The sequence below is a fragment of the Homo sapiens genome, chromosome 1, assembly GCF_000001405.40.
Source record: "Homo sapiens chromosome 1, GRCh38.p14 Primary Assembly".
NCBI lineage: Eukaryota > Metazoa > Chordata > Mammalia > Primates > Hominidae > Homo > Homo sapiens.
The window spans coordinates 56,911,984-56,936,146 of NC_000001.11; the positions used below are offsets into that span (position 1 = coordinate 56,911,984).

The 24,163-nt window shown below is 44.3% G+C and overlaps 2 protein-coding genes across 4 annotated transcripts in view, besides 1 other annotated feature; one reads left to right on the plus strand and one right to left on the minus strand.

Moving 5' to 3' along the window:
• Positions 1–6,240, plus strand: part of C8A (complement C8 alpha chain) — a 63,427-nt gene extending 57,187 nt beyond the window's left edge. Inside the window, exons 10-11 of the mRNA NM_000562.3 lie at positions 420–642; positions 5,582–6,240. Coding sequence (NP_000553.1) covers positions 420–642; positions 5,582–5,733 — 375 coding nt within the window. The 3' untranslated portion in view covers positions 5,734–6,240. The remainder of the gene's footprint in view (positions 1–419; positions 643–5,581) is intronic.
• Positions 12,693–12,987: a silencer, noted in NCBI's record as "tiled region #9770; K562 Repressive non-DNase unmatched - State 24:Quies". NCBI's record gives its function as "represses a minimal TATA promoter and a strong SV40 promoter by Sharpr-MPRA in K562 cells {active_cell/tissue: K562}" and the evidence as "EXISTENCE:reporter gene assay evidence [ECO:0000049][PMID:27701403]".
• The window catches only part of C8B (complement C8 beta chain), a 36,809-nt gene continuing 29,869 nt past the window's right edge, over positions 17,224–24,163 (minus strand). For all 3 annotated transcript variants that reach the window (NM_000066.4, NM_001278544.2, NM_001278543.2), the window contains 3 exons: positions 21,352–21,505; positions 19,827–19,895; positions 17,224–17,575 (listed from right to left, as the gene is read on the minus strand). In NM_000066.4, coding sequence (NP_000057.3) covers positions 17,421–17,575; positions 19,827–19,895; positions 21,352–21,505 — 378 coding nt within the window. In that variant the 3' untranslated portion in view covers positions 17,224–17,420. The remainder of the gene's footprint in view (positions 17,576–19,826; positions 19,896–21,351; positions 21,506–24,163) is intronic.

Here is a 24,163-nt window from a genome sequence, read left to right on the forward strand (position 1 = left end):
TTCTTGTGAGGAATGCACACATTGCTCCAGGATCACTGTGAGGATTAAGGGAGATGATATAGGGGAAAGGCCTGTCATATGGTAAAAGCTAAGTAAATGTGCCTCACGTCCTAGCTGTGTGGGCTGGGACTTTTAACTGCCCCTCTCTAAACCCGATCTTCATTATTATTTCTTAATAATTGTGTGCTTCTGAGCCAGTCACTTAAACACTGAGCCTCCCTTTCTTCTGCTAGGAGCTGAGGAGTTTAATACCTATGTCACAGAATGGCTGTGAGGATCCAAGGTGGTGGGATAAATTGGGTGTCTGTGTCTGTGCCTGGCATGTATCAGGCCTTCCAGAAGCTTGGTGGCCGGTTCTTGGGCTCTGGGAAGGTAGATAGAGCCCAGGGAGGGGCCCTGTGTTCTTTCTGTGCCCACAGATGCAGCCTATCCACGAGGTGCTGCGGCACACAAGCCTGGGGCCTCTGGAGGCCAAGCGCCAGAACCTGCGCCGCGCCTTGGACCAGTATCTGATGGAATTCAATGCCTGCCGATGTGGGCCTTGCTTCAACAATGGGGTGCCCATCCTCGAGGGCACCAGCTGCAGGTGCCAGTGCCGCCTGGGTAGCTTGGGTGCTGCCTGTGAGCAAACACAGACAGAAGGTAAGGTCCGTGCATCCCCACCCAGTTCCAGCCTGTCCCAGCTCAAAGGGGCCAGTGCAAAAAGGACTTTTGGGGTTCCCGGCCCCTCCTTTTGGAGCTCTCCTAGCCAATACCTAGGAGCCACCCTTGAGAGTTCTGTTACTCACCCATCACATTTAGTGGTTCTTGTGCTTTGTCCTTGCCATCAAGACCTTTTCTCAGATGAGAACTGTTTTTCGCCAAGATGTATATGGACAACAGGATTCATTTCTGGAGGAATAAACTAGTTTCCTAGGGCTACCATAACAAATCATCACAAATTAGGTGGCTTATAACAACAGAAGTGTATTGTTTCAGACCTCTGGAAGCTAGAAGTCCAAAGTCAGGTGTGTTGGCTAGGTTGGTTCCTGCCAGAGACTGGGGGAGTATGTGGTTCAAGTCCCTCTCCTATCTTTTGGTAGTTGTCAGCAATCCTTGGCATTTCTCGGCTTATAGATGCATCGCTCCAGTCTCTGCCTCTGTCTTCGTGTGGCATTCTTCCCTCTATAACTCTGTTTCTCTTCTTATAAGAACCACCAGTCACTGGGTTTGAGACCACCCTAATCCAGCATGACCTCATTTTAATGTGATTTCATCTGCAAAGATCCTATTTCCAAATAAGGTCATGTTCACAGGTAACAAGGGTTTGCCTTGAACATATCTTTTGAGGAAACACAATTAAACTCACTAAAAGAGATAGGTAGTTGTCATTATAGTGTAAGAAGTTATGACTAAAAACAAGGTTTGGGCAAGGAAGGTTTAAATGCAGATAACTGCAACATGAACCAACTGGTACCAGGGAAGAAAGTTATCAAACAAGCATTAAAAGTCCATTGCTTAAAAATGAAGAAGTCTGGGGACTTGGATGTGAATCCCAGATACTTTACTAAGTCACTGTGAGACACTAATTGTTCACATCTTTCTGGGGCTTAGCTTTCTCATCTATGTTCCCTTTTAGCCCCAAGAGTATGCATGTTCCAATTCCTAAGCTCCCACTTTTTCAGGCACATAAAACTGTTTGTATGGTACATAAAATGATGGCAAAATGTATGGACTACCTAATCAATGTACACATTAACCTAAATTGGCTATTGCAATGAAGAAAACACAAAGGGAAAAACAAAGAAGTCTGGATGGGAAATCCAAGGTATTACAATTGACTCCAGAAAACAAAGGGTTGAAGCACAGGGTGGAGGGGGCTGAAGCCATGTGGCTCAATGGCCATGTGAAAGAAACAGGCCAACCATTAGTCCCAGTTCACTCAGTGGGAGCCTGATACAGACGGCCCCACAGTGAAAGACGGGTTAACAAAAGTCAAGAGCTCAGGATAAGATTCTTCTCTGGCGTACCAAGATTTTTGTTCTTGGTGCCACACCTCACCGGATACTGACAAAGCAAAGCAGGCAATCCAGAGAAGTGGGAAGGCTCAAACCTATGTATTAAGAAGATCTGGAAAGATTGGGAATTTTAGGCATGAAGAAGAAAGACTCAGAAAGGACAAGTCCCACATAAACTGCCATGTGGGAGGACATGGAACTTGTATTCTATGGCCACTGAGATTAGGTTGTAGGACTAAAGGAGAGAAGCTATAGCAAAGGGATTAGGGCTTAATGAGGGAGGACTTTCTTCTGCATGTACTGCAGCAAGAATGAGGGAGGGGGATAGATGACCACTTTTCAGGGAGTTGGAAGAGATTCATTCTTCCAAGGGATGGTCGGGCAAGACAGCCTCAAGGTCCTTCCTACCCCCAGAATCTCTGAGTCTCTGACCTAAACAAGGGATAGCAACATGGTGAGCAGTTGGTAGTTTGAAGCTTAAAATCTTTAAATGCAAAATTGAATTTAAATATTTTAAGCTTCAAACTACAAATACCAATTTCTTTAGGATTCAAGGGGATCTTCATGCAGTAGACCTGGTTTTAAGATCAGATGATGTTGAGTTATTATTTCCTCATTGGGAGAGTAGTTCTAAGTAGGAGGCAGGATAGCATAGCTCAGGTACCAAACCGATCTTTAGTTTTTTGTTTTTGTTTTTCTTTTGAGATGAAGTCTTACTCTGTCACCCAGGCTGGAGTGGAATGGCGTGATCTCAGCTCATTGCAACCTCCTCCTCCCGGGTTCAAGCGATTCTCCCACCTCAGCCCGCCCTGCCCCCACCCTGAGTAGCTGGGACTACAGGCATGCACCACCATGCCTGGCTAATTTTTGTATTTTTACTGGAGATGGGTTTTCGCCATGTTGGTCAGGCTGGTCTCGAACTCCTAGTCTCAAGTGATCTGCCCGCCTCAGCCTCCCAAGGTCCTGGGATTACAGGCATGAGCCACCACATTCAGCCCAGGTCTTTAATTTCTAAGCTGCCAATTTCCATCTGGGCATACCCTGTAAAATGAGATTATATTGGAACCTTCCTTAAAGGTTGTGTTGAGGATTAAACTAGTTAACACTTGTGGTAGGCTGTATTTTAATAAGCAAAAGAAGAGACAGCTTCATGTGGGATGTTTCATTGGTAGAGAATTGTTCTGGGTTGTTACTTGTTCAAATTCCTCCTTTGCTGGCAAAAGGGGATAGAATCTGGGTTCCAGTGAGCTGCCTGTGTCCTGTGGGAGGTATGCTGAAAGAGGTAAGCCAAGAGGGTGAGTGAAAGCCAATGACCTTATGAAGGAGCATGCAGAGAATACAAACCAAGGAGACCAACTCCCAGGGCCAGTTCCATCTTCCATGGAACTGCAGATTCCAGCTTCCTTGTGTGAACTGGAAAAAAGGCACTGCTTGGTAGATGGGTGAATTGGGAGAGAAAAATAAAACTACTCTGGATTGATACAGCCGAGCTCAAGGGCCCAGGGCTTTCCTGACTTCCCAAGCAGGGTATGGACTGGGTTGTAGCCGCCATTTTCCCATTGGCCAGGCAGCATTCCCAAGGGGACCAAAGATCAATGAACAGAAAAAATAACTAAGCCTTATTAGTAACAGCCGTTAGAGCTGCATGTGTATGAACTCATTTATTTTCCCAAGAACCTTATGACATAAATGCTATTATGAGTCCCAATTTACAGATGAGGAAAACAGGGCAGAAGGAAGGTTGGATAATTTGCTCAAGGTCACCTAGCTGGGGAATGAAAGAGACAGGATTTGGACCCGGGACCCAATCTCTTAAACATTACACCCTACTGAGTCACATCCTAAGAGTGAGGAAATTTGGGGAATGAGAGCAGAGGGTCTGAGACAACTTCAGTAAGTATCATTTTGGGGAGTGGAAAGTGGGGTATGTACCAGTTCATGGTTATCAATCTGGCCTGGCTTAAAGGAACAGATGTGAGCCTTGCCAGAGTAATTTAATTATAGCACTCCAAGGGCCCTCAGAACCAGTGACTTGCTAGGATCCCTGTCCACACAGCATAGAGACAGGAAGAAGGGGGAGTGTGGGCTACCCAGACGTGCCTCTCCATGGTCCAGTGCCAGGCTCAGTGGCAGGCAGGCTGAGACACCTGCACACGTGGTGGGTATCAGAGAAGGTGTGGGCATTACGTAATGATCTGCAGGGAGGGAGGAGACAGAGGGCTGCTCCCAAGGTCCCATTCCTCCTGCATTCAGTTGCAGGCAGTGCAGTTAGTTCATTGCAGGCAGCTCATGGCGCTCCATCAACCTGGTTCAAAGCAAGGTGTGGACATCAGGTGGCCTTGGGGCTGTCATACTGAACTTTCAGCCTGATGGAGACTGGGCTGGCAAGGAAGTCTGAGGCAGGGCAGTCAAATTCCATGGAGGCCCATTACAGTCCCTGGGAATTTTCCCAGTAAACCTTTGCCTATGGAGACTGAGGCACAGAGGTGGGAGAAAGAGACAGAGAGCCTTGCTGTGGCTGCCCCATCAGGGAGTATAATTACAGAGCTGGAAGGAACTTGGAGATAATCTAATCCAATGATAGTCACACTGTGATCTGAGGAGCCCTGGGGTCTCAGAGCTGCCCCAGCAGAGGAGGGCGAGCCTGACAGACATCCAGCTTCAAATAGAGCAGCTCCACTTTCATCTGACTTAGAGGTTGGGGGTCTATGTAAGATTTCATTTAGGAAAAATGAAATTGTGATGAAAAAAATAAACATTGAAAAAAACCACTGGATTAGTCCATCCTTCTCATATGATAGCATCCAAAACTCAGGCGGAGCCCCAGGCTAGGTAATTCTCTGAGCTAGATTTCCAGATAGTCCATGGTCAGTGCATGTGTTCAGATGCTCTGTGCAGACAGCCTGTCACCCTCTGCGGCTCCATTGCCAGAATCTGAGGGGGTTTGATTTGCAGATCCTCATACAAAAGCTTAGCAATCCTCTCCAGGGAGGTGTCTGGCCAAACCTTTTCTCTGACTCCCCAGGAGGGCGGTGCTCCCCTCTCTTCACACCCTCCATTGACTCTGTGTCATTCTTCCAAGGGAGCACACCTCCTGCCTCCCTCCGCTATCCATCTTCCATGGAACTGCGGATTCCAATTTAATGAGATGGGCTCCCAGTGGCCTCTTCTCACTCCATCCAGAGTTTCAAATTAAGTGCAAGGCAGTGAGCACAGAGGTCTTGGCTGGCTACCTGAAGGCATTTCCCCAAGGAGGATTGCAGACCACTCTCAGGCAACAGGATGGCCTTCCCTCCTCAGTAGCAGCTCTGCAACTCCCTGGACAGAGCCCCCAGGGGCAATTAATAGCCTGACTGCCATGGTCTCTGCAGTGAAACTGCCCTTGCTACATCTGGACTAACAAAGGAGCAAAGACCCTATGTACCTTATCTGTACGTACCTCCAACAAGCTGCAGTCGACCAGAGGAGGGGAGGCCAGTTCCTCTCCCAAGGGTGCCACACACCCCTCCCTGTTCATCACCAGACAGGCCCTTCCTTCTTAGCCATATGCTAACCTTCTCCTCCCTGGGAAATTTCCTCTGCAGGAGCCAAAGCAGATGGGAGCTGGAGTTGCTGGAGCTCCTGGTCTGTATGCAGAGCAGGCATCCAGGAAAGGAGAAGAGAGTGTGACAATCCAGCACCTCAGAATGGAGGGGCCTCGTGTCCAGGGCGGAAAGTACAGACGCAGGCTTGCTGAGGGCCTCTGGACACAGGCTGGACCAGATGCTGTGGATGTCGACCCCTGCACTGACTATTGGATAAAGACTTCTTTCAACTAAGAGAAGATGCAAATCAGCACACTTTTTTCTTTGTTCTGCCAGCTTCCAGGCCTAAGACTAGGTTTTGCTGTCTACAGCCAACTATTCTATTAGTTACAAAACTCAATCATTTTATTCAGCAACTGGATGTTGACTGTTAACTAGAAGCTCTGTCCTACTTACAGCACTTTGGATCATCAAAAAAATAAAGTAAAATAGAAAACTGAGAAAACTCAATCCATGACCAGGGAGAACTTACAGGATGTTAGAGACAAAACAAGCAGACACCTGAAACAATCAACGCCCAATAAAACAAAGTAGGATGAAAATTCTCTTAGTTCTTTGATAACAATTTGTTCACTCATAGAAACATTATTAATTGGTAGGGTAAGCAGACACTCTGAAACAATGAGAAAAATACTAAAAATTGACTTGAGTTATTTCAATTTGCCTTCATTTGAACTCGTTTATTAATTCAATTAATCTCTCTAGTTCCCTTAAGTTCTTACCACAAATGTGACATTTCTCCTGATTATTTTCTCATGGAACACTTCTTTTCCTACATTGCAATTTTCACAACTAGTAATTATATTATCTTAGTCTATTTGGGCTGCTATAACAAAAAGCCATAAACTAGGTGGCTTATCAACAACAGAAATTTATTTCTCACAGTTCTGGAGGCTGGGAAGTCCAATATCAAGGCAGATTCAGTGTCTGGTGAGGGCCCACTTCTTAGTTTTTACAGGACTGTCTTACTGCTGTGTCCTTACATGGCAGAAGGGGCTAGGCAGTCTCTTAGGTCCCTTCTTTAAGGGCACTAATCCCATTCATTAGGGCTCCATTCTCGTGACCTAGTCACTTCCCAAATTTCCCACCTCCTCATGCCATCACTTTGGGGTTAGAATTTCAACATATGAATTTTGAAGGGACACAAATGTTCAGATCATAGCATATATATTTAATCCCACATCTCCTGTGACTATGTAAGACCTATCTCTTCCTAAGAGATAATAATCTTGAGGGCAGAAGTCAGGCTTCTTTTGTTTAGCACTGTAGCCCCGGAGGTCAGGCTTGTGCCTTAAATGTAGCAGGGACTTAGTAAGTAGCTGTGATTAAATAAGTGAATGAATTGAAGAGTCAGTTCATAGATGAGGTACACATTGGTCAGCCTCCCAGAGTGGAGAGTGGATTTGAAGAGGCCAACTAGTGACGATCAATCCGCCTTCTCTGACCCATCTCTAGGGGAGGCCAATCACACCAGCCAGCCTCAGAATCCCACAGCCCTCCAGTCATGCCTCAAATAGAGAACATGTTAGGTAGCACTGAATTTTCTGTTTATCCATCAGTTTCCCCTATTAGATTTTGAGCTCCTTGAAGGCCAAATCTACAATCCTAGTGTATAGTAGGTACTCAAGAAATGTCTGGTGACTAACATATATATTGATGCTTCAAGTCATTCCAGAGTCCTCAATCTTGTTAAAGTCAGAATAAGAATTATGTACCTGAAACAACTAGAGGAGGTTTTAGGGAAATTAATTGTTGAGTTAATGCTAAAATATGTAGCACACAAAGTAAGTGCTGAAGGAGGCCAGGTGGGAGAGAGATTTACCTTTCCATTACTGTGTATATTGTGGATGGCATGGGGATTGCCCCAGGCCCTGAAGGACTTTTCAACTAGGCAAACTGGGAGGAGATCTCTCAGACAGAAATTCGGCATGAGACAAAGTCTGAAAGTGAGAAAGACATTTGGGGGTGCATGCAGGTGCGTATGTGTCAGGAAAGGGGAGTGAGGAAAATAATGCATGTAAATAAAATAAGGCATATAAAACACTTGGCACTATGCCTGTCATACAGGACATTATTACCCTCATGCTTATCGTCATCATTATTAAGACTATTATTAATTAAAGAATGTGATTTAGAAGTTAATTTCTGAACTCTTTAGATCTTCTACCTGAAAGAAGAAAAAAAACTCTCCTATTGCTTTTCATCCTGTCATTAATTTGCTTTTTACTTTTTAACTTACATTAATAATTAACCTACATTCATTATTTACTGAGTAGTGGCAGTTACATGCTAGAAAGTGACCAAGGGCCAAATATGCCAGGCCACGTGGGCACTTTAAAGAGAACGTTTGATCTTGACCTAAAAAAACAGTGGTTCTTAAACTTGGTTGTATGTTACAATCACCTGAGCAGTTTTCAAAACCCTGATGTCTACAGACTGCACCCGAAACAAATTAAATCTTAATCACTGGGTGTAGGGACCAGACATCCATAGTTTTTTGGGGTTTTTTTGTTTGTCTGTTTGTTTTGAGACAGAGTCTCCAGGCTGGAGTGCAATGACACAATCTTGGCTCACTGCAACCTCTGCCTTTGGGGTTCAAGTGATTCTCCTGACTCAGCCTCCTCAGTAGCTGGGACTATAGGTGCACGCCACCATGCCCAGCTAATTTTTGTATTTTTAGTAGAGATGAGGTTTCGCCATATTGGTCAGGCTAGTCTCGAACTCCTGACCTCAGGTGATCCACCCACCTCGGCCTCCCAAAGTGCTGGGATTACAGACTTGAGCCACTGCGCCCGGCCTGACATCCTTAGTTTTAAAAGTTCCTCAGGTGATTCCAAGTGCAGCCAAGGTTGAGGCTCCTGAGAGTGGAGGAATCATTATACCTGCATGGGGAATGGGGTCTGTGACAAAACAAAAAGGCAGGGACAGTAAAGTTATTTGTGCTATTTTAACTAGTCTTATGCAAGATCTCTTAAGGTTTGTTTTCTATGTCCTATTGTGCAGCCAAGAAACTGAATCTCAGCAAGGTTGAGCCTCATGGGTCACAGAGCAGGCCAGGGTTTGAATGCGTCACATCAAACACACGCTTCCATTTCCTCCACCCACCCTTTGCTCTTGTCTGCTGGTGGAGGGATTTGGAGAATAGTGTGTGGGGCACAAGGGAGGGGAGGAAACCAGAGGCAGGGAGGCTCATCAGGAGGTAAGTGTAGTAATCTGGGCAAAAGATGAGAACTTTGAGATTAAGTAATTGCCTGGATCATCTGTGAGCCAAAACCACCAGCTGAGCAATGCTGTCTTCCTGTCTTCTGAGCCAGAGAACCCAAGCCAGCATCTGTCCCACTCCTCTGAGGATGCTACATCCCCAAAAGCTTTACAAATTAAAATACAGTGGCAGTTTCAAGCATAGCAACCCTTTATTACATCAGCAGCTTTCCCTCTTCAAGAATGACTGGCTCTCACAAAGCAAAAAGCATAAAACTCATCCAATGCATTTTCCCTTAGGTCTTTTAAGAAGATCTATAATCTAAGGTTTTATAGGTAGTGGGTGTAAATACATGGTTTAAAGATATAATCTTCAGCTTGACAAGGTGTCTTTTGAAAAGTAAATTAATGACAGAATAAAAAGCAATAAGGAGAGGCTTTTTTCTTTTTTTTTTTCTTTGTGAGAAAGGAAGATCTAAAGAGTTCAGCACTCAATGAATCTCTTCTGAACTATATGCCTTTAGGGTGAAGAAAATGGACAGAGAGAAAGGGTAGGCTTCAAAAGCCACATTGCAGAAATGAGAGATGGCAAAGTGAAGCCACTGAGTGCCATGAGAGGAAGGGGATGTGATACGGATTAGAGGAAAGGCATGAAGAAAATTTATGGTGATACTCCTTCACATCAGAAATGGGCAAAATACTCTCTGGAGATCTCTTGTGCAGGCCCCATGCTGGGTGCTGGAGGTTCAGAAATGGATCAGACATGGTCCCATCCCTGGAAGAATGCAGCCTGGTAAAGGAGAGCTGTGAACAATGGCAATAGGTCCCAGGCAGCAGGAAGCCCAGGGACCTGTGGGGGATAACCAGCTGTGGGAGCAGGGCAGGCAGCCAGGACATGGCCAGCAGAATCTCAGACACAATGAGAGTTGGAGCATCAAAGAAAGCAGAAGGAGGGGCACGATTGTGCAGGGGAAATGTGCAAAGTAACAGAGCTGGAAAACCAGGAGATAGAGTGTGGGGCAATTTTTGCTCAGCTCTTTGGGTAATGGTGCTGGAATTTGTCAGGCTGGAGATGACTGAGTTTGGAATTCCAGTTTGGTCACTGGGCCTTTCCTGAGGGGAGCCAGTTCTTGGTCCCAGGGAGATTCCCACAGACAGCCCCTTTTCTGATTACCCTGGGGTACTCTTGGGCTTTCAGCAAGCCCACAGCTGTTGTTATAAAGGCCATGGATTTGAAACTGGATTCATAAAGCACATCTCTGAGGCTGATGTACCCCTCCACCTTTATCTCTGTTCAGACTTTATGAGCCAATTGTGCGAGAAATCTATTGTCCCTGACATGAGGAACAAAGCTCTGTGTGACGAGCCCTTGGCTCCCTTTCATGTCCTTCCCTTCAGTTCTTCCCTCAATCATGCTCCTCCAGCCATGCAGGCCCTTTTGCCATTCCTCATGCACACCAGGCCCTCCCCTCCTCAGGACCTTTGCACCTGCTGTCCTCTCTGCCTGAGATGTTCACCATCTAAATGAGCTCATCCACAGCTCACTTCCTCATTTCATTCAAGTCTTTGCTCAAGCGTCACCTCTGCAAAGACATTCTCTGTGCACCCTATGTAAAGAGGCTCACCCTTTTCATTGATTTTTCTCATACAGAATTACCGTTACCTGACATTATAGATTTGTTTATTTGTTCTTTTTTTCTTCTCATATGTTATGGACTGCATGTTTGTGTACCCCCAAATTCCTATGTTGAAATCCTAATCCCTAATGGGATGGTATTAGGAAGTGGGGCCTCTGGGAGTGCTTAGGTCATGAAGATGGAGTCCTCTTGATGGGATTAGTGCCCTTATAAGGAGAGACACCAGAGAGCTTGCTTCTCTCTGCAATCTGCTATGTGAGGATACAAGAAGATAGTGGTCTGCAAACCAGAAAGAGTGACTCATCAGACACTGAATGGGCTGGCACCTTGCTCTTGGACTTGCCAGCCTCCAGAACTGGGAGAAATAAATGTCTGTTGTTTAAGCCACCCAGTCTATTGTATTCTTCTATAGCAGCCTGAAACAACTAAGACAGTATGACTCCCCCCATTATTAAGCAAGACTTTTCACGGTTAGATCCCCAGTACCAAATAGTATTTAGCCTTAGTAGGGGTGCAGTAAATGTTTATTGAATTAAAGAACTATTTCTGCCACGCGCGGTGGCTCATGCCTATAATCCCAGCACTTTGGGAGTCTGAGGCGGGCGGATCACTTGGGGTCAGGAGTTCAAGACCAATCTGGCCAACATGGTGAAACCCTGTCTCTACTAAAAATACAAAAATTAGCTGCGTGTGGCGGCGGGCGCTTATAATCCCAGCTACTCGGGAGGCTGAGGCACGAGAATCACTTGAACCCAGGAGACAGAGGTTGCAGTGAGCCTAGATCACACCACTGCACTCCAGCCTGGGCAACAGAGGGAGACTCTCTAAAAAAAAAGAACTATTTCCAATTTAGTTCCCCAAATAGGTCAGGCCTTTTATTGCCTACAGCTTTTGCACATACTGCTCCTAGAAGAACTACCCCACTCCCACTTCTCAGCTCTCATCTTCTAGCCACTCACCAGCACTTTCCCGGGAATAGGTTAGGTGTCCGTTCATCCAGAAAACCAACCTTGACCCCTTCCATTACCCCACACTTCATCAGGTCCTCCTCCCTCACGTAGCTCTGTATTCTAGCATTTTTCCATGCTCCATCCCTGTAGCCTAGTTGTGTGTCTACCCCACCCAGTGACTTCTTGCAGGGCAAGTGGGGAATCCTATTTACTGTTGAAGCCCTAGCACCTAGCATCATACTTGGTACATAGGAATTTTCCAGAGAAAGTTTGTTGGCTGCTGTTGTCTCTGGTTTCTCTGTGCTGGAGGTAAAGACTCTAGAATGGTTTTTGTGTCTAGCCTGCAGAAACTCATGAGAGGGAACCTAATGAAAGACACTTTCACAGGACTCCTGAGTCCTGCAACCTTCTTGGTATGTCAGAGGACAGCCGAGCCCACGTCGTTCCTGAAGGCTGCACAAATTCAAGAGACAGCCCACCTTTTTCACCTTAGTGAAGGGAAGTCCATCAAATCGAGTTAAAAATTCCTCATTCATGGCCTTAGAATTTCCCCTGGGAGAGATAAAGGAAAATATGTTTTCCTTCTATATTAACAGCTTAAAATGTGAGATAAATCCTCCCTTCCTAACCTGTTTTTAATAAATGGACTCTGCTGACCAGTGGCATGATACATGTCTGACAGATCTATTTATCCATTCTATTTCTTTAGAGATAAGCAGCTAAGAAGTTTTATCTATGATTTGTCTCCCTCCCCCATTCCCATTTTCCTAAGCAAGCATGTGGAGCAAGCATTTGATGGATGGGCGGTGTTTGGGATAAAAGGGGCCAGAATCAGATAGTTTTCAGTATGTGAGCAAACTGGCTTATTAACAAGGAGTCATCTGGCAGGAGGTGGTGAGGGAAGGAGGAGTGGATACAAACAATGGCCAATGATGGATGAAGGAACACCTGGGGTTGCAAGGTGTAGACTTGAGATAACTGGTGGATGCAGCCAATAGCGATAATGGGAGTGCCCAGGCTCCGGCACGGCCTGCTACACAGAGGTGAATGTCAGACTAGCCACTTGACTCCCTTTGACAATCCTCCGAGAATTCCCTACTGCAAATGCAATCACCATTTCTTTTCATTTTTCTTTTTGTAAAATATATCCACCTACTCAAAGAGACAGATGCTAGGCAGGGTAAAAAGAGGCAGAAGTTAGGCAAGACTGTTTTGTTCAGCACCCAAGAATGTTAATCCTCAGAGTTGTGCCCTGAAGATTAACAGCCTCATTTTCTGATGAGGACACTGAGGCCAAGAAAGGAAAAGTGACTTGATTCAAGGCACACAGCTAGGAAGTAATGGCGTTGGGTGTTACACCTGTCTGTCTATTGCAAAGCCTTCCAAACCTGCTCAGTTTCTCCACTGCAGGGATGTCAGACCAAGGGCCTTTCTCTGCCCCTTCTATGTAAGCAGGCAGGTGGGTATTTGCTCTACGGATGAAGCTGGATCTGCCTCTGCTGTTGTGGGAGACATGAGGACAGAGGCTGCAGCTCTTGGACTAAGCTCTGCTGCTTTCAAGCTGTGTGGTCTTGGGCAAATCACTCAGGTTCTCCGAGGCTCTGTCTCATCACCTGTCAAAGGCAGATAATGAATCCTTCCTGTTGCAGGCATTGAGAGGATTAAGCTGGATTAGGTATGTGAAAGTTCTTTGTAACAGGTAATGCCCTCGGCAAATATTAGTTATTATGCTGATACATTTTTTCTTAATAACCCAGAGCTTGGGATATAAAAACCCTCCATGTCCTTTATTAAGACATTCCCTAGGAGCTAAGCTATTTTATGTCTTTTTGTTCTTGTATGATATAGTGGGTTTTGCACTGAAATGTCTTTAAAGCAGTTTTAAATGGCTTAAAAAATAACCAACCTGTGGTTCTTGTTGATGTTTTGAAAATCCCTGGAAATGATGATAGTAATGACATAGCTAATTGTGGAATGCTTACTAGGTTCAGGGTGCTTTCCTAAATGCAGTAATTCACATGTTTACAAAACCCCAGGAGGCTGACACTGCCACCATCCCCATCTCACAGATGAGGAAATGGAGACACAGACAGGTACATAACTTGTATAAGGCCACAAGGTAGTAAGTCACAGAGCCAGGCTTCAAATGTCAGCAGTCTGGCTTCTAAGCACTATGCTATTTGGCCTCTCTCTATGCTGTCCTTCCAGTTTTGCCTAAGAGGTTGTGACAACACCCCCCATTATCTCTATAAACAGATCCCTGAGTTTCTGAATACCTCACTATCGGAATCTGGCCTAACATTTAAGAATGGTAACTCAAAGAGGAAAACACAATATAGAAAGATCTGATTTCATGCCAACATTCAATAAACAGGGAATCTCAAAGACCTAACATGCACTATGGTAATGTGTTGCCATTAGGTTTTTTGTGGCCATTCTAGGTTTAAAACTAATGTAGAGATGAGAACACTGAGGGTGAAGCAGAATGTGGGAAGATGATTTTTTTAAGTTCCTCTTTCCTACCTCTGCCACATAGTAGGTAGGCCTTTTAAAATCTCTTGAGCCTTGGTTTTCTCATTAACCTGTAAATGTGCTTCTCAGGTTTACTCCACCAATAATTGCAGAGTTTTTGTTCCCTTCCTTGGTAAAGCTTCCTTGGGGATTCCTGGCTGTCCCCAGGAGGTGTCAACAATACCACCTCCAAACAGGTATTATCACTCCCTTCATGACATCAGCTGTTTTTTCTTCCCTTTTATTTCACTTTGCTCTTGCACTGCTGCCCACAAAGCCAGTTGAAGGTGCCTATCCTTCACTACTACGTGGGTTGCCCCTACCCTAGGGGTTGCTCTGCCCCTACTCTCATGATGCCACTATCATGTACCACAAATTCACTAAAGGTTCTCACCAGCATGAGAAAGTTCTTCCCTAGGCCCTACTCATTCCTTTCATTAATTCATTAATTACCCAATTATTTATTGATGGTCTACTTGTGCCAGTCACTAAACTTAGAAGTTGGGATATATTAGCACAGTAGACACTGTCCCTCTTTCATGGATGCTATATTTGAGATAGAATAAGCAACAAGTAAATTATACAATGTCTGCAAAGTCTAGAAACATTGGTGGGTAGGCACGATGTCATTAAGGACATCTTCAATCTGTAAAACAAAATATTTTCTCCATTTTCAGACTTTCAGACTTACCTCTATTGTGATGGTGGAAGTACAGAGTGAAATGAAAACAGAGAGAGTAGACATCTCTCTCTTAACGTAATGGAAGCAAGGAAGGCTGTAGGAAAGAAGAGACAGCTGAGACCTGGAGGATGAATGAGGAACTGGCTTCAACAGGAGGGTGAGTGGTGGGGCTGCTGCGTGCAAGATCCTATGGCCAGTATGTTTTTCCACCAAGGTGCAGATCATGAAGGTCCTGAGGGATGCCAGGCTGATGTCCCCAAGGGCATTCTGTGCCAGGCCCACTTTCTCCTGAGGACTTTTTTTTATAAGTACCTGGGAGCAGGCCAGAGTCCTCTTCTTTAAGACAGAGATGACTTTTCCTTCTATCTGGATTCTCTGCCAGCAAGTGCTCTTTCTCCTGACCTCTGTATCCCATCCTGACTTCTATAGTTGACTCATTAGTCATAAGGATTGAGTTTCCATTTGAAACTTTCTCTACCTGTCATCCAATGATTGTATTAATATCTACCCTATGAAATTCAGATGAAGATTAAATAAGATAATGTAGGTTAAAAGACTTCATAAACTGGGAAGCACTCTATAATTGGCAGCTATTATTATTATTACTATTGTTAAACTAATTATAATAATTATTATTCCCATAGAAATTATGTTATTAGTCCAAGGTCACATGGAAAGCCTCCCACCTGGACATTAAGCACATGAAGCTAAAAGCATTTTAAAGATTTATGCTCTGGGATGCAAAAATCTCCCACATCCAGGCATCTTGTGCTGTGTTCAAGCTTCCAGGACCACAGCCAAACTGTCCTGCCTGGACTCTGCCCCTCGAATACTGCAGCTCCTTCACTGGTACACCAGTGAAAGCCACAGTTGCCAAGATTTTCCAAAAGCACGGTTTGCATTTATTTTGTTTAATTCTTACATTGTGTTTCAGCCTCCTCCAAAATGCATTTGTTTGCAGAAAGAGCCACGTGGGGAAGTTCAGCCCACAAATAAGAATATAATTATTACACAGTTTAGCGATGCCTGGGCGTCACCCGGGTATTCACCGGTGCTCCAAAATTCAATTGTCTCTCCTTCAAGACCGTATTTAATAGGATAAACAATTTCTGCTAAATGCAATAAATGTGAACCTGGGCTGTCATCTCCATAATCAACTCAAATTTCCCATTAGAAACAGTGGCTGTGATTGAGATTCAGAATTTAATTTGGCAGCGCTCGCTTCAACATGCTAGTGTCAACTTCATGGGAGCCTCCCATCAACCAAAGACAGAATCGCTCTTCCCTGTCTCAGGGGAATCTTAAAAGAGATAGATTATAACTCAAGAAAATTATACGGCTTCAGTATAATGAAAGAGATAAAACATTATTGGATTATCCTGTTGAAATAACAGCAGACGGCAAAGCAATAATAATAAACCAAACAAGGGCCCAGACCCATCAGCTGAATTGCAGGGGCCATGGGGATGCGGGAAGGCAGGCAGGATCACCATACTTGCTGGAAGAACCCCTAGAAGTACAATAGCAGCTCCTTCTGATGGCTGTTCTATGGACCCAATTCCAGATAGCTGGTTGGGTGAGATTGCTGTGTGCCAGTAACCAAAGCTTGGTGTCATGTTAAGGTCTCAGGCCCCAGCGTCAAACCCAGTGGTAAACTCCAAGCAGATGATTTGGCTGAAAATCAATGGGTTGAATCAACAGGATGAACCAATTCACCTTTAACCAACTGCTTTTTTACCCCACCAACTTTATTTCAAGAAATTCACCTGAAGTACTTAAATCAGACAGGAGGGGCCCAAGAGCAAAGAAAATCTTACAGGATGTTTTAATACGATTGAATGAATGAGAGAAATAAAGCTTAAATGCTCACTTGACAATCTAGAAAATTAAAATTTTACTTCTGGTAGCCCAGAGAAAAATTGTCTTCTTATTCTCTTCTTCAAGACTTCTGCCCTCCCCTCAAAATGGTATTTGCACAAGAGCATAAGTGAGCAAAGTAGAATGTACAGTTTCATGGGGGAGGTAGGGAACAGTTTACCTTGCACATTACCCCACAGCCATCAACTTAAAATTCTCTTTCACGTGTTTCCTCTTCCAGCCACCATGATCTTCTCTTCTTTTTCAACTTTCTCTTCTTCAGGGATCAGTTTCCCTGGCTCTTTTCTCCAGCTCAGGATCTTCCCTGGGAACCCACCTTGCCACTCCTTTATTAAGCACAACAATTCCACTCTGCCCCAGAACTCCTGCTTCCAACATGCACAACCACACCCTTCCTATGCTCAGCATCAAAGTGAGCTGGGGAATCAGGATCCTCTCTCCTCAGAAGGGAGTGGCTGGAGATTTGTCAATCACACACACACACACACACACACACACACACACACATGCACACACACACAGTAATTTCTGCTGCATTTTATTTCATGAAAAATTCTTTGTTAATCAGATACTCATTTACTGAGAGGTAAGACAGCATCATAGTTAAGAATTTAAAACTCTAGAGCCTGACTTTATAGCCCAGGTCTGCCGCTTTCTAACCAGTCACGGCTAGAGGGCTAGAGAGTGGAACTGAAATGTGAACAACTTCCAACACAATTCCTGGCTGGTAGTCAATATGAGTGAAATAAAATTGTAGAGTGAGTAAGGTGAGGATTACAAAGATGCTTAAGCCTTTAACTCAGTATTTATTTAAATCAACTTGCATTTTACAAGGTAACATCTTTATTTTAAACAGCTTGCATGGCACTGCCTTTTGCCCTTGCATGAACTCCAGGTGGAAACTGGTGTAGGGCTGAGCTGGCATGAGTTCTTGAGGGCTCAGGGCTCTCATTGTATGTAGCCCACTGCTGTATCATCTGCTAGGAGCAGTCAAGTGTTTCTGAAGCAGGGCCTGAACAGGGGCTACCCCCATTTTGAGGAGGTGGATTGTTACACTGCCTTTGTCTTGTCTTACGTCTTCCAGAGCATGAAGACCAATTTGACCAGCAATTCCACTTCCCATCAATGGGGGTATCTATAAGAAAGAAGGTCAATAAGCATCAATCAGCACTTCTTATATTCTGGTGCCTTACTGGGGTTGGGTGAGCTATGTAAGCCAAAAGGCTTTGGGAGTCTGAATCTCTGAGCTCCCTGCTGCCATTTTCCTGGCCATTGTACTTGTCATGCTCTTGCCTACCACAGGGCCTTTGCATATGCTTTCCCCCCTGTGCCCAGAACACTCTTCCCTCCTCTACTCACCTGGTCAATCCAATTCACCCCTCGGATCTCAGTAAAAGTGTTATTTCCTCAGGAAAATCTTCTCTGACTCCCCCAGTCCCCATCAATTCCCTGTGACTCCTAACTCTCCATCAATTCCTCATATTTTAAGTTCTCTGAGCATTTTGTAGCAGTTGTTACAATTTAAACTTTAAAGAACTTTATGGGACAATTCAAATGATATTGGCCTTCCTTTCCAAAGCAAAATCTCTATTGTGACTGGGGCTGTATCTTATTTGTTCACCTAGCAGCTAGGCAGGCAAACAGGAGGCCCTTGCTAAACATGTGTTAAATGGATGAATGGATGAATAAATAAATGAATGAATGTTTTCCAGCTTAGACAGTTCCCACCTATAGGATGCTGGATAGTTATCTTCTTCTCAAACTATATAATGGGAGCTGTGTTATCTACTGTGAGCAATGGATGTTGTAGATGAAGTGACAACAGACACCAGTGCTTTCCACACCCTGACACTTGGCTTTCACTTGAGGATTTTTGATTGTTGGTGAGATTGGCAAGTCATCAATCACTTCCATCACAATTTATCATGTGTCCAGCTTTGCCACTACCTCACAGTGTAATTCTGGGTAAATTACTTAATAACTGGGCCTCTCCATTTGAAAAATAAGAGAGCTGGAGTGCATGGTTCCCAAGGGCTCCTCCAACCAATAGGAACCCTGTGGTTGTGTGACTGCAGACTCACTGGGAAGATGACTGCTAGGGGCATGGTTGAGGTGCAAGATGAGAGGGTGGACAACCTTGAGTGTTTTACTGGGAACATAAGAGTGCAGGCAGGAGTTACGATCAAAGGCTGTGGGGGCAGACCCCTGGACCTGAACCTGGGTTTCCACACTTCCTAATTGTGTGACTATTGGGTATGTTAGTTAGTGACCCATTGAACCTCAGTTTCTTCATCTATAAAATGGGAATATCAATAATATCTACTTCATGGGGTTGTTGTGAGGATTAAAGAATTTAATATATATAAGATACAAAGTAACAATGTGCTCTTTAAAAAGTAACCAATGTTTATCTTGCTTTTACAATGTGTAAGGTATCATTCCAAACGCTTTATATGCCTCCTTACAAAGTCAAGACAACTCTATGAGGTTGTTAATATGATCATATTCATCTTACAGGCACAGAAACTGAGGCATAAAGAGGTCAAGTATCTTGCTCCAGGTCAGTTATTAAATGATGGAGATGGAATTTCAATCCAAGCTGAGTTTAAGCACTCAGCAAAGTGTCTATTATATAGTAAAGTGTCCAGTAAATGTTCGTTGTTTGTTTTACATGTGCCATTTCCATATTGAACAGTATCACCAAAAAGTCGCTGAAAGGAATAAAAGTGAGAGAGGAGTGAAAGATTGAGAGCTCTTATGTGTTAAACTGGCCAAAGAATTTGAGATCTGGAAGGGATCTTAATGATAGCCAAGTCTTTCATTTGTTAATTCAACTATTATCACTGAGCAACAGCTGTGCCTGGCTACTGAGACACAGAGGTAAATGGGACATGGTCCCTACTCACAGATGCAGGGGAGTTAGATAGATACATCAACCCAAAATACAATGCACAAAGAGCTATAATAGATACATGTTCAAAGTCCCGGGGGAGCCAGCAGGAGGAATTAGCTCATTCTTTGGGGATTAGAGGAATTTTTTATGGAGGAGGGGGCATACGTGCTGGAATTTGAGGGCTGAATAGCAGTATACTAAGCAGGAAAAGAGGGTAAGCATTCCAGAATGATCCAAAGAGATGGCTTACAAAAGCCACGCATTGATATTTCTCTAACATGAAGCACTCTGTGTTGTAAAAATAATGAAATGCATAACAATCAATCCATCAGTTATTAAATGATGGAGATGGAATTTCAATCCAAGCTGAGTTTAAGCAGGATGGATCTCAGGTTTCCTAGTATCCAGCCCCACACTCCACACCAGCTCCTTGCTCTTCTTCTGGTGAATTATTCTCTGGACCTCCCCAGAGTTCCTTTTCCAATTAACTTACTCTTCCGATAGGAGACCTCACAGGCTAGGCCTTGGGATCCAACAGGACAGATGCAGTCACAGCGTGATCCTGAGAAGACAAGGCAGAGAAAGTGTGAATCATGCCAGGTGGAGCAAAGAACTCCTGGAGCTCAGCCCTCCAATCACTGCAGTTCCATCAGGTTAAAACAGAGCACATATTTAGTTAAATGGCTTGCTATAGGCAGGTTCAGGGCCAGGAATACCTACTCCTTTCCTGAGGGCCTTTGCCACGAAGGGGTGTTTATTGTCATCCCTAGGAATACATAGAGTTGTTGAAGACAATTACTCATGAGCTGACATTTGACCCATACTTAAATGCTTTCAGTGTCAGAAGCTACATTAGCAGTCACTGAGGCCAGTTGTCATTGATGTTCAATTTCACACCAAATAATTGCCTAGCTTAGACTTGAATACCTCGAGGATGGGGAACTCATTACTCTTAGATGTCTCATCTGACTTTTGGCCAGTTCTGACTCCTTGGAAGTGATGCCCTATGTGAATTTGTAATCTGTCAAGCAACTTCTCATATGAATCACAAGAAATCTCCTTACAGGGTGTCCATCATAGGTCAGGCCCTGCAAGCATCCCAGTCTCTGGCTCCATATTCTCCCTCACCTTCACTCTATAGCCTCAGGTGGGTCCAAGTTTCTAGGTCCAAATTTCGTACAAGGCAAGGGAGAGTTCAGCAACCCTAGATTAAAATCTTGAGTTGATGAGCTGACCCCACTTGCTGCAGAACTAACCCTCACATAGGGGTCCTTGTGCTGATAGCAGAACTTCTAGGCTGTATGCTCTCACTTATGTCTTCTCTGCTCATGTCTATCCTCTCCAAGGAGCCAGAGACATATTCCTCAATCCCAGTCTGGCAACTGGACCCTTTCTGCCTGAGAATACACCTTCTTCTATATCCCTTCCGTTGAGCTAACTTCATCCACGTGGGCTCTGCCTTGACTCCTGCTGGTTCCCTGGGCTGAGACTTGCTGTAACCAGTTGCTCCTGATGCCCTGTTTTGTGTGCTGGGCTGGCCTCTTTTTTAGAGTCTTGCTAGGCTATCACAACAGGAGCATAAGATCCCAGGCTCTCACCCCTCCCAGTCTGCCCTGCTCACTGCAGTGACCCCAACATGACTCTTGAGTTTAACAATCAAGTTCTAGTGGCCCATCCTTGCTGCTACCCCCAAATCTTCTTATTATGTATTAGTCAGGACATGCACAAAGGGCTTCTCCTACTCAGCCCAGGCCCCCTTTGGGTAGAGATTCTCTGAGTTTATTCCCACTCCTTGCTGTGGACCACAGGATCTCAGCCTGCTACTGTCTTCAGCTTAATGATGCTGTCACCCACGGTAACCCTTGGGGCTAGAACCCAGGTATACTGACAGCCAGAGTAGTATCTCCCAGTGGACTAAATTCTGACTTCTCAGTAAACAGAAGCAGGCAAATGGCTGGCCCCCGGCCTGCTTCAGATTATGGCTTCCACCAGGGACACCAGCTGCCTGAAAGTGGTACCTTTCAGGACAGGGACTCCATTTCCTTGGCAGGGAGCACAGTGGCAGGAACTAACTTCCTTCTGGAACTCCTCCAGTGCCTGCTTCATGTTCTGCCTCACTGTGCTGGAATAGGCAAAATCTGTGGCTGTCACTAGTTCATACAGAGGCTCCACCTGGAAAGGGAAAAGGGCATTTATTTCAAGAGAAAAACATTTATCAAGTAGAAGTGTAAAACAAAACTACAAAGGAATGGACTGGGATCAGTGTATAGAGACCACATGTGGGTTCCTATGAAACTAGATGGATCTCCCATCTTCTCTCTGCTTCCCCTTACCCGATATACACAAATTAGCTCACTCAAGTTCAGGTCAACAAACACTTAGAATGCTTAACTAAGTGCTAGGTATTAAGCATAAAAAATGAGTAAGATAAAATCCCTACTCTCAAGGAACTCAGAATCGAGAGAGACAGACAAACATACCAACAGATGGTTACCACATGGTGGATACAGGCACCAGCAGAAACTTGTAGAAAGAAGCAGGTGAGAGCAGAAAGGAGTGGATGCTTCATCTATCTTTGGTGGGGCAGAGAAGGTGATTTTCCAGCAGCTCTTTGGAAGGATTATAGGGGTACTGTCCCAACATCACTAAGCCCTCCAAACCTATCAAAATCATTCCCATCCTGCAAGAGTCACTATCAGGAACCTTCCAGAGCTGCAAAGCTCACAGAACAACTTCCCTCCATTAATCACTCAAGATACTGTCTGCACTACTCATCTGAAACAAATCCCATGTTTTTTATTGCTCCTTTATAGTCAATACTGTCTTTTTTTTTTTATGTGCAGGGTCCTTTTTTTTTTTCTTTTCTGATTAGATTGTAAGCTCCCAGAGATCAGGGCAATGTCTCAGCTCTGTGTTTCGAGGGTCCAGCCCCCAGCTAAGTGAATATAGTGGCTGGATGGATGTAGGGGGATGGAAGGCCTCATTAAGGTGATGGCAGGGGGCATGGATGAGAGGGTTTGGCTGTCAGAAGCATAGAGGAAGAATCAGCAGATGCTGCTCACTCAGTGGGCATGGCCATGTTTGAGACGGAGAAGTCACAGATAGATGTGGCATTATTTGTGGGTTAGAAAAACCAGAGGCACAGACAGTCCAAATAGATAGTTAAAAATGTTCTATTCCTCTTGGTTCAAGTTGCAACTCCAGGGCCAGGTTCCTCTCCAGCTTTTGCTTGTGATTCTGCCCTAATCCTGCCCTGGAGAGTTTAGGGTACGTCTAAATGCAGGCAATCATGACTAATAGAAGCCTCCCTTGGGAAGAAAATTGCTTCCATTTCTTAATGCATCTGATGCTGACCTTTGCTCCAGTGGGCAAAGCAAGGCCCCTTGGTGGTCCCATTGTCTCACCATTTTGTGGTCAATGAATTGATCCAGAGGCTGTTTGCAGAACCATCCAACCTGCTGGCCACACAAGGGGTGGGGGTGGGAGTTTGGAGAGAGAAAGAGGGGAGCTTGCTTTACACCAATGAAGAGCTCCTCCAACATCTGATTTTGCTCCCAAAGCACCTTGAAAGGCTGCCATTAACCAAAAAGGCATTTTCCTACCAGCACTGGGGTTTGCTGCAGGAGGCAGAGGAAATCAGAGGACAAACTGGAATAAACCTTCCATATATACTGTGTCCTGGGAGCTGTGTGGAGGTCTACAAATATGATCCTACTTCATCCTCACAAACTAGCAATTATCAGCCCCATTTTCAGGTCAGGCTAAGTAATTTGATCAAGATCACGCAATTCATATATGGTATTACCAGAATTCTATTCCAAAACCTGTTTTTCCTCCTAGTTCACCATGATTATTGATAAAAATGGCTTGATTATTCCCATTTACAGTCTCCCTCCTAGGCTTCTCCAAATTTTGCCAGCTATGGTTTGACTTGCAGCTTAACAGCAACTCCTCAAGGCTCCAAATTTCCTTTTTAAACTTAATATAGCACATTCGTCTGTTCTTTGATTTGCTGCTCATTTTTTTCCTGTCTTTTTTGTTCTCTCCTTTTGCTCCTCCCTCCTTAACTTTTGTCCTCCTTTTCTCTTTCTCTTTCTTTCCCACTTCTCCCCCAAATACACAGTTCTAACCACTGACATTGATCATTGGATCCTCAGCACACCTGCCCTTCTGAAAATTTTCTTTTATCATATTGCTGCAAAGAAATGGTGAGCACCGACTAAACTCTACACAAGTTTCCATACTAAACCTTGGTGTTCTTAGTGATAACAAATAATTATTTCCATAGCTAGCATTTATTAGGTGCTGAATTAAACACTTTATATACATTATCTAACTTAATCTTTGCAACAATCTTATGAGTTCGTTAGTCTTTTGTTTCCTTCTTGTACAGGTGAAAAAGCTGAGGCACAGAGACATTAAGTAGATTGACGAAAGTCACATAGCTAGTGAGTGGTGGAAAAAGGGTGTGACCTGTTAACCCTGTGGTCTGTTTCCTTTCAGTGTATATTTTTGGGCAGGTAGATGGACCTATCCAAGGGATGAATAGGTAGCAATTTACACCAAATTGGTGGCATAAGTGTAATTTTATATCTCACTTTCTTCACTTAACATCAGAATATGAGCATTTTTCCACATGATTCCATCGTCTTTGATAAAATGGCTTCTTACATCTTCAGAGTATCCTTCTATATGGATGAGCCACAATGTATTCAACTCTTCTTCTGTTCTTGAGCCTTTAGGACATTTCCTTTCTTTCTTTTCCCTTTTGCTACTTCAAATAACAAACTAAGACATGCCTTTACACATACATCTTTACCAACTTGTCAA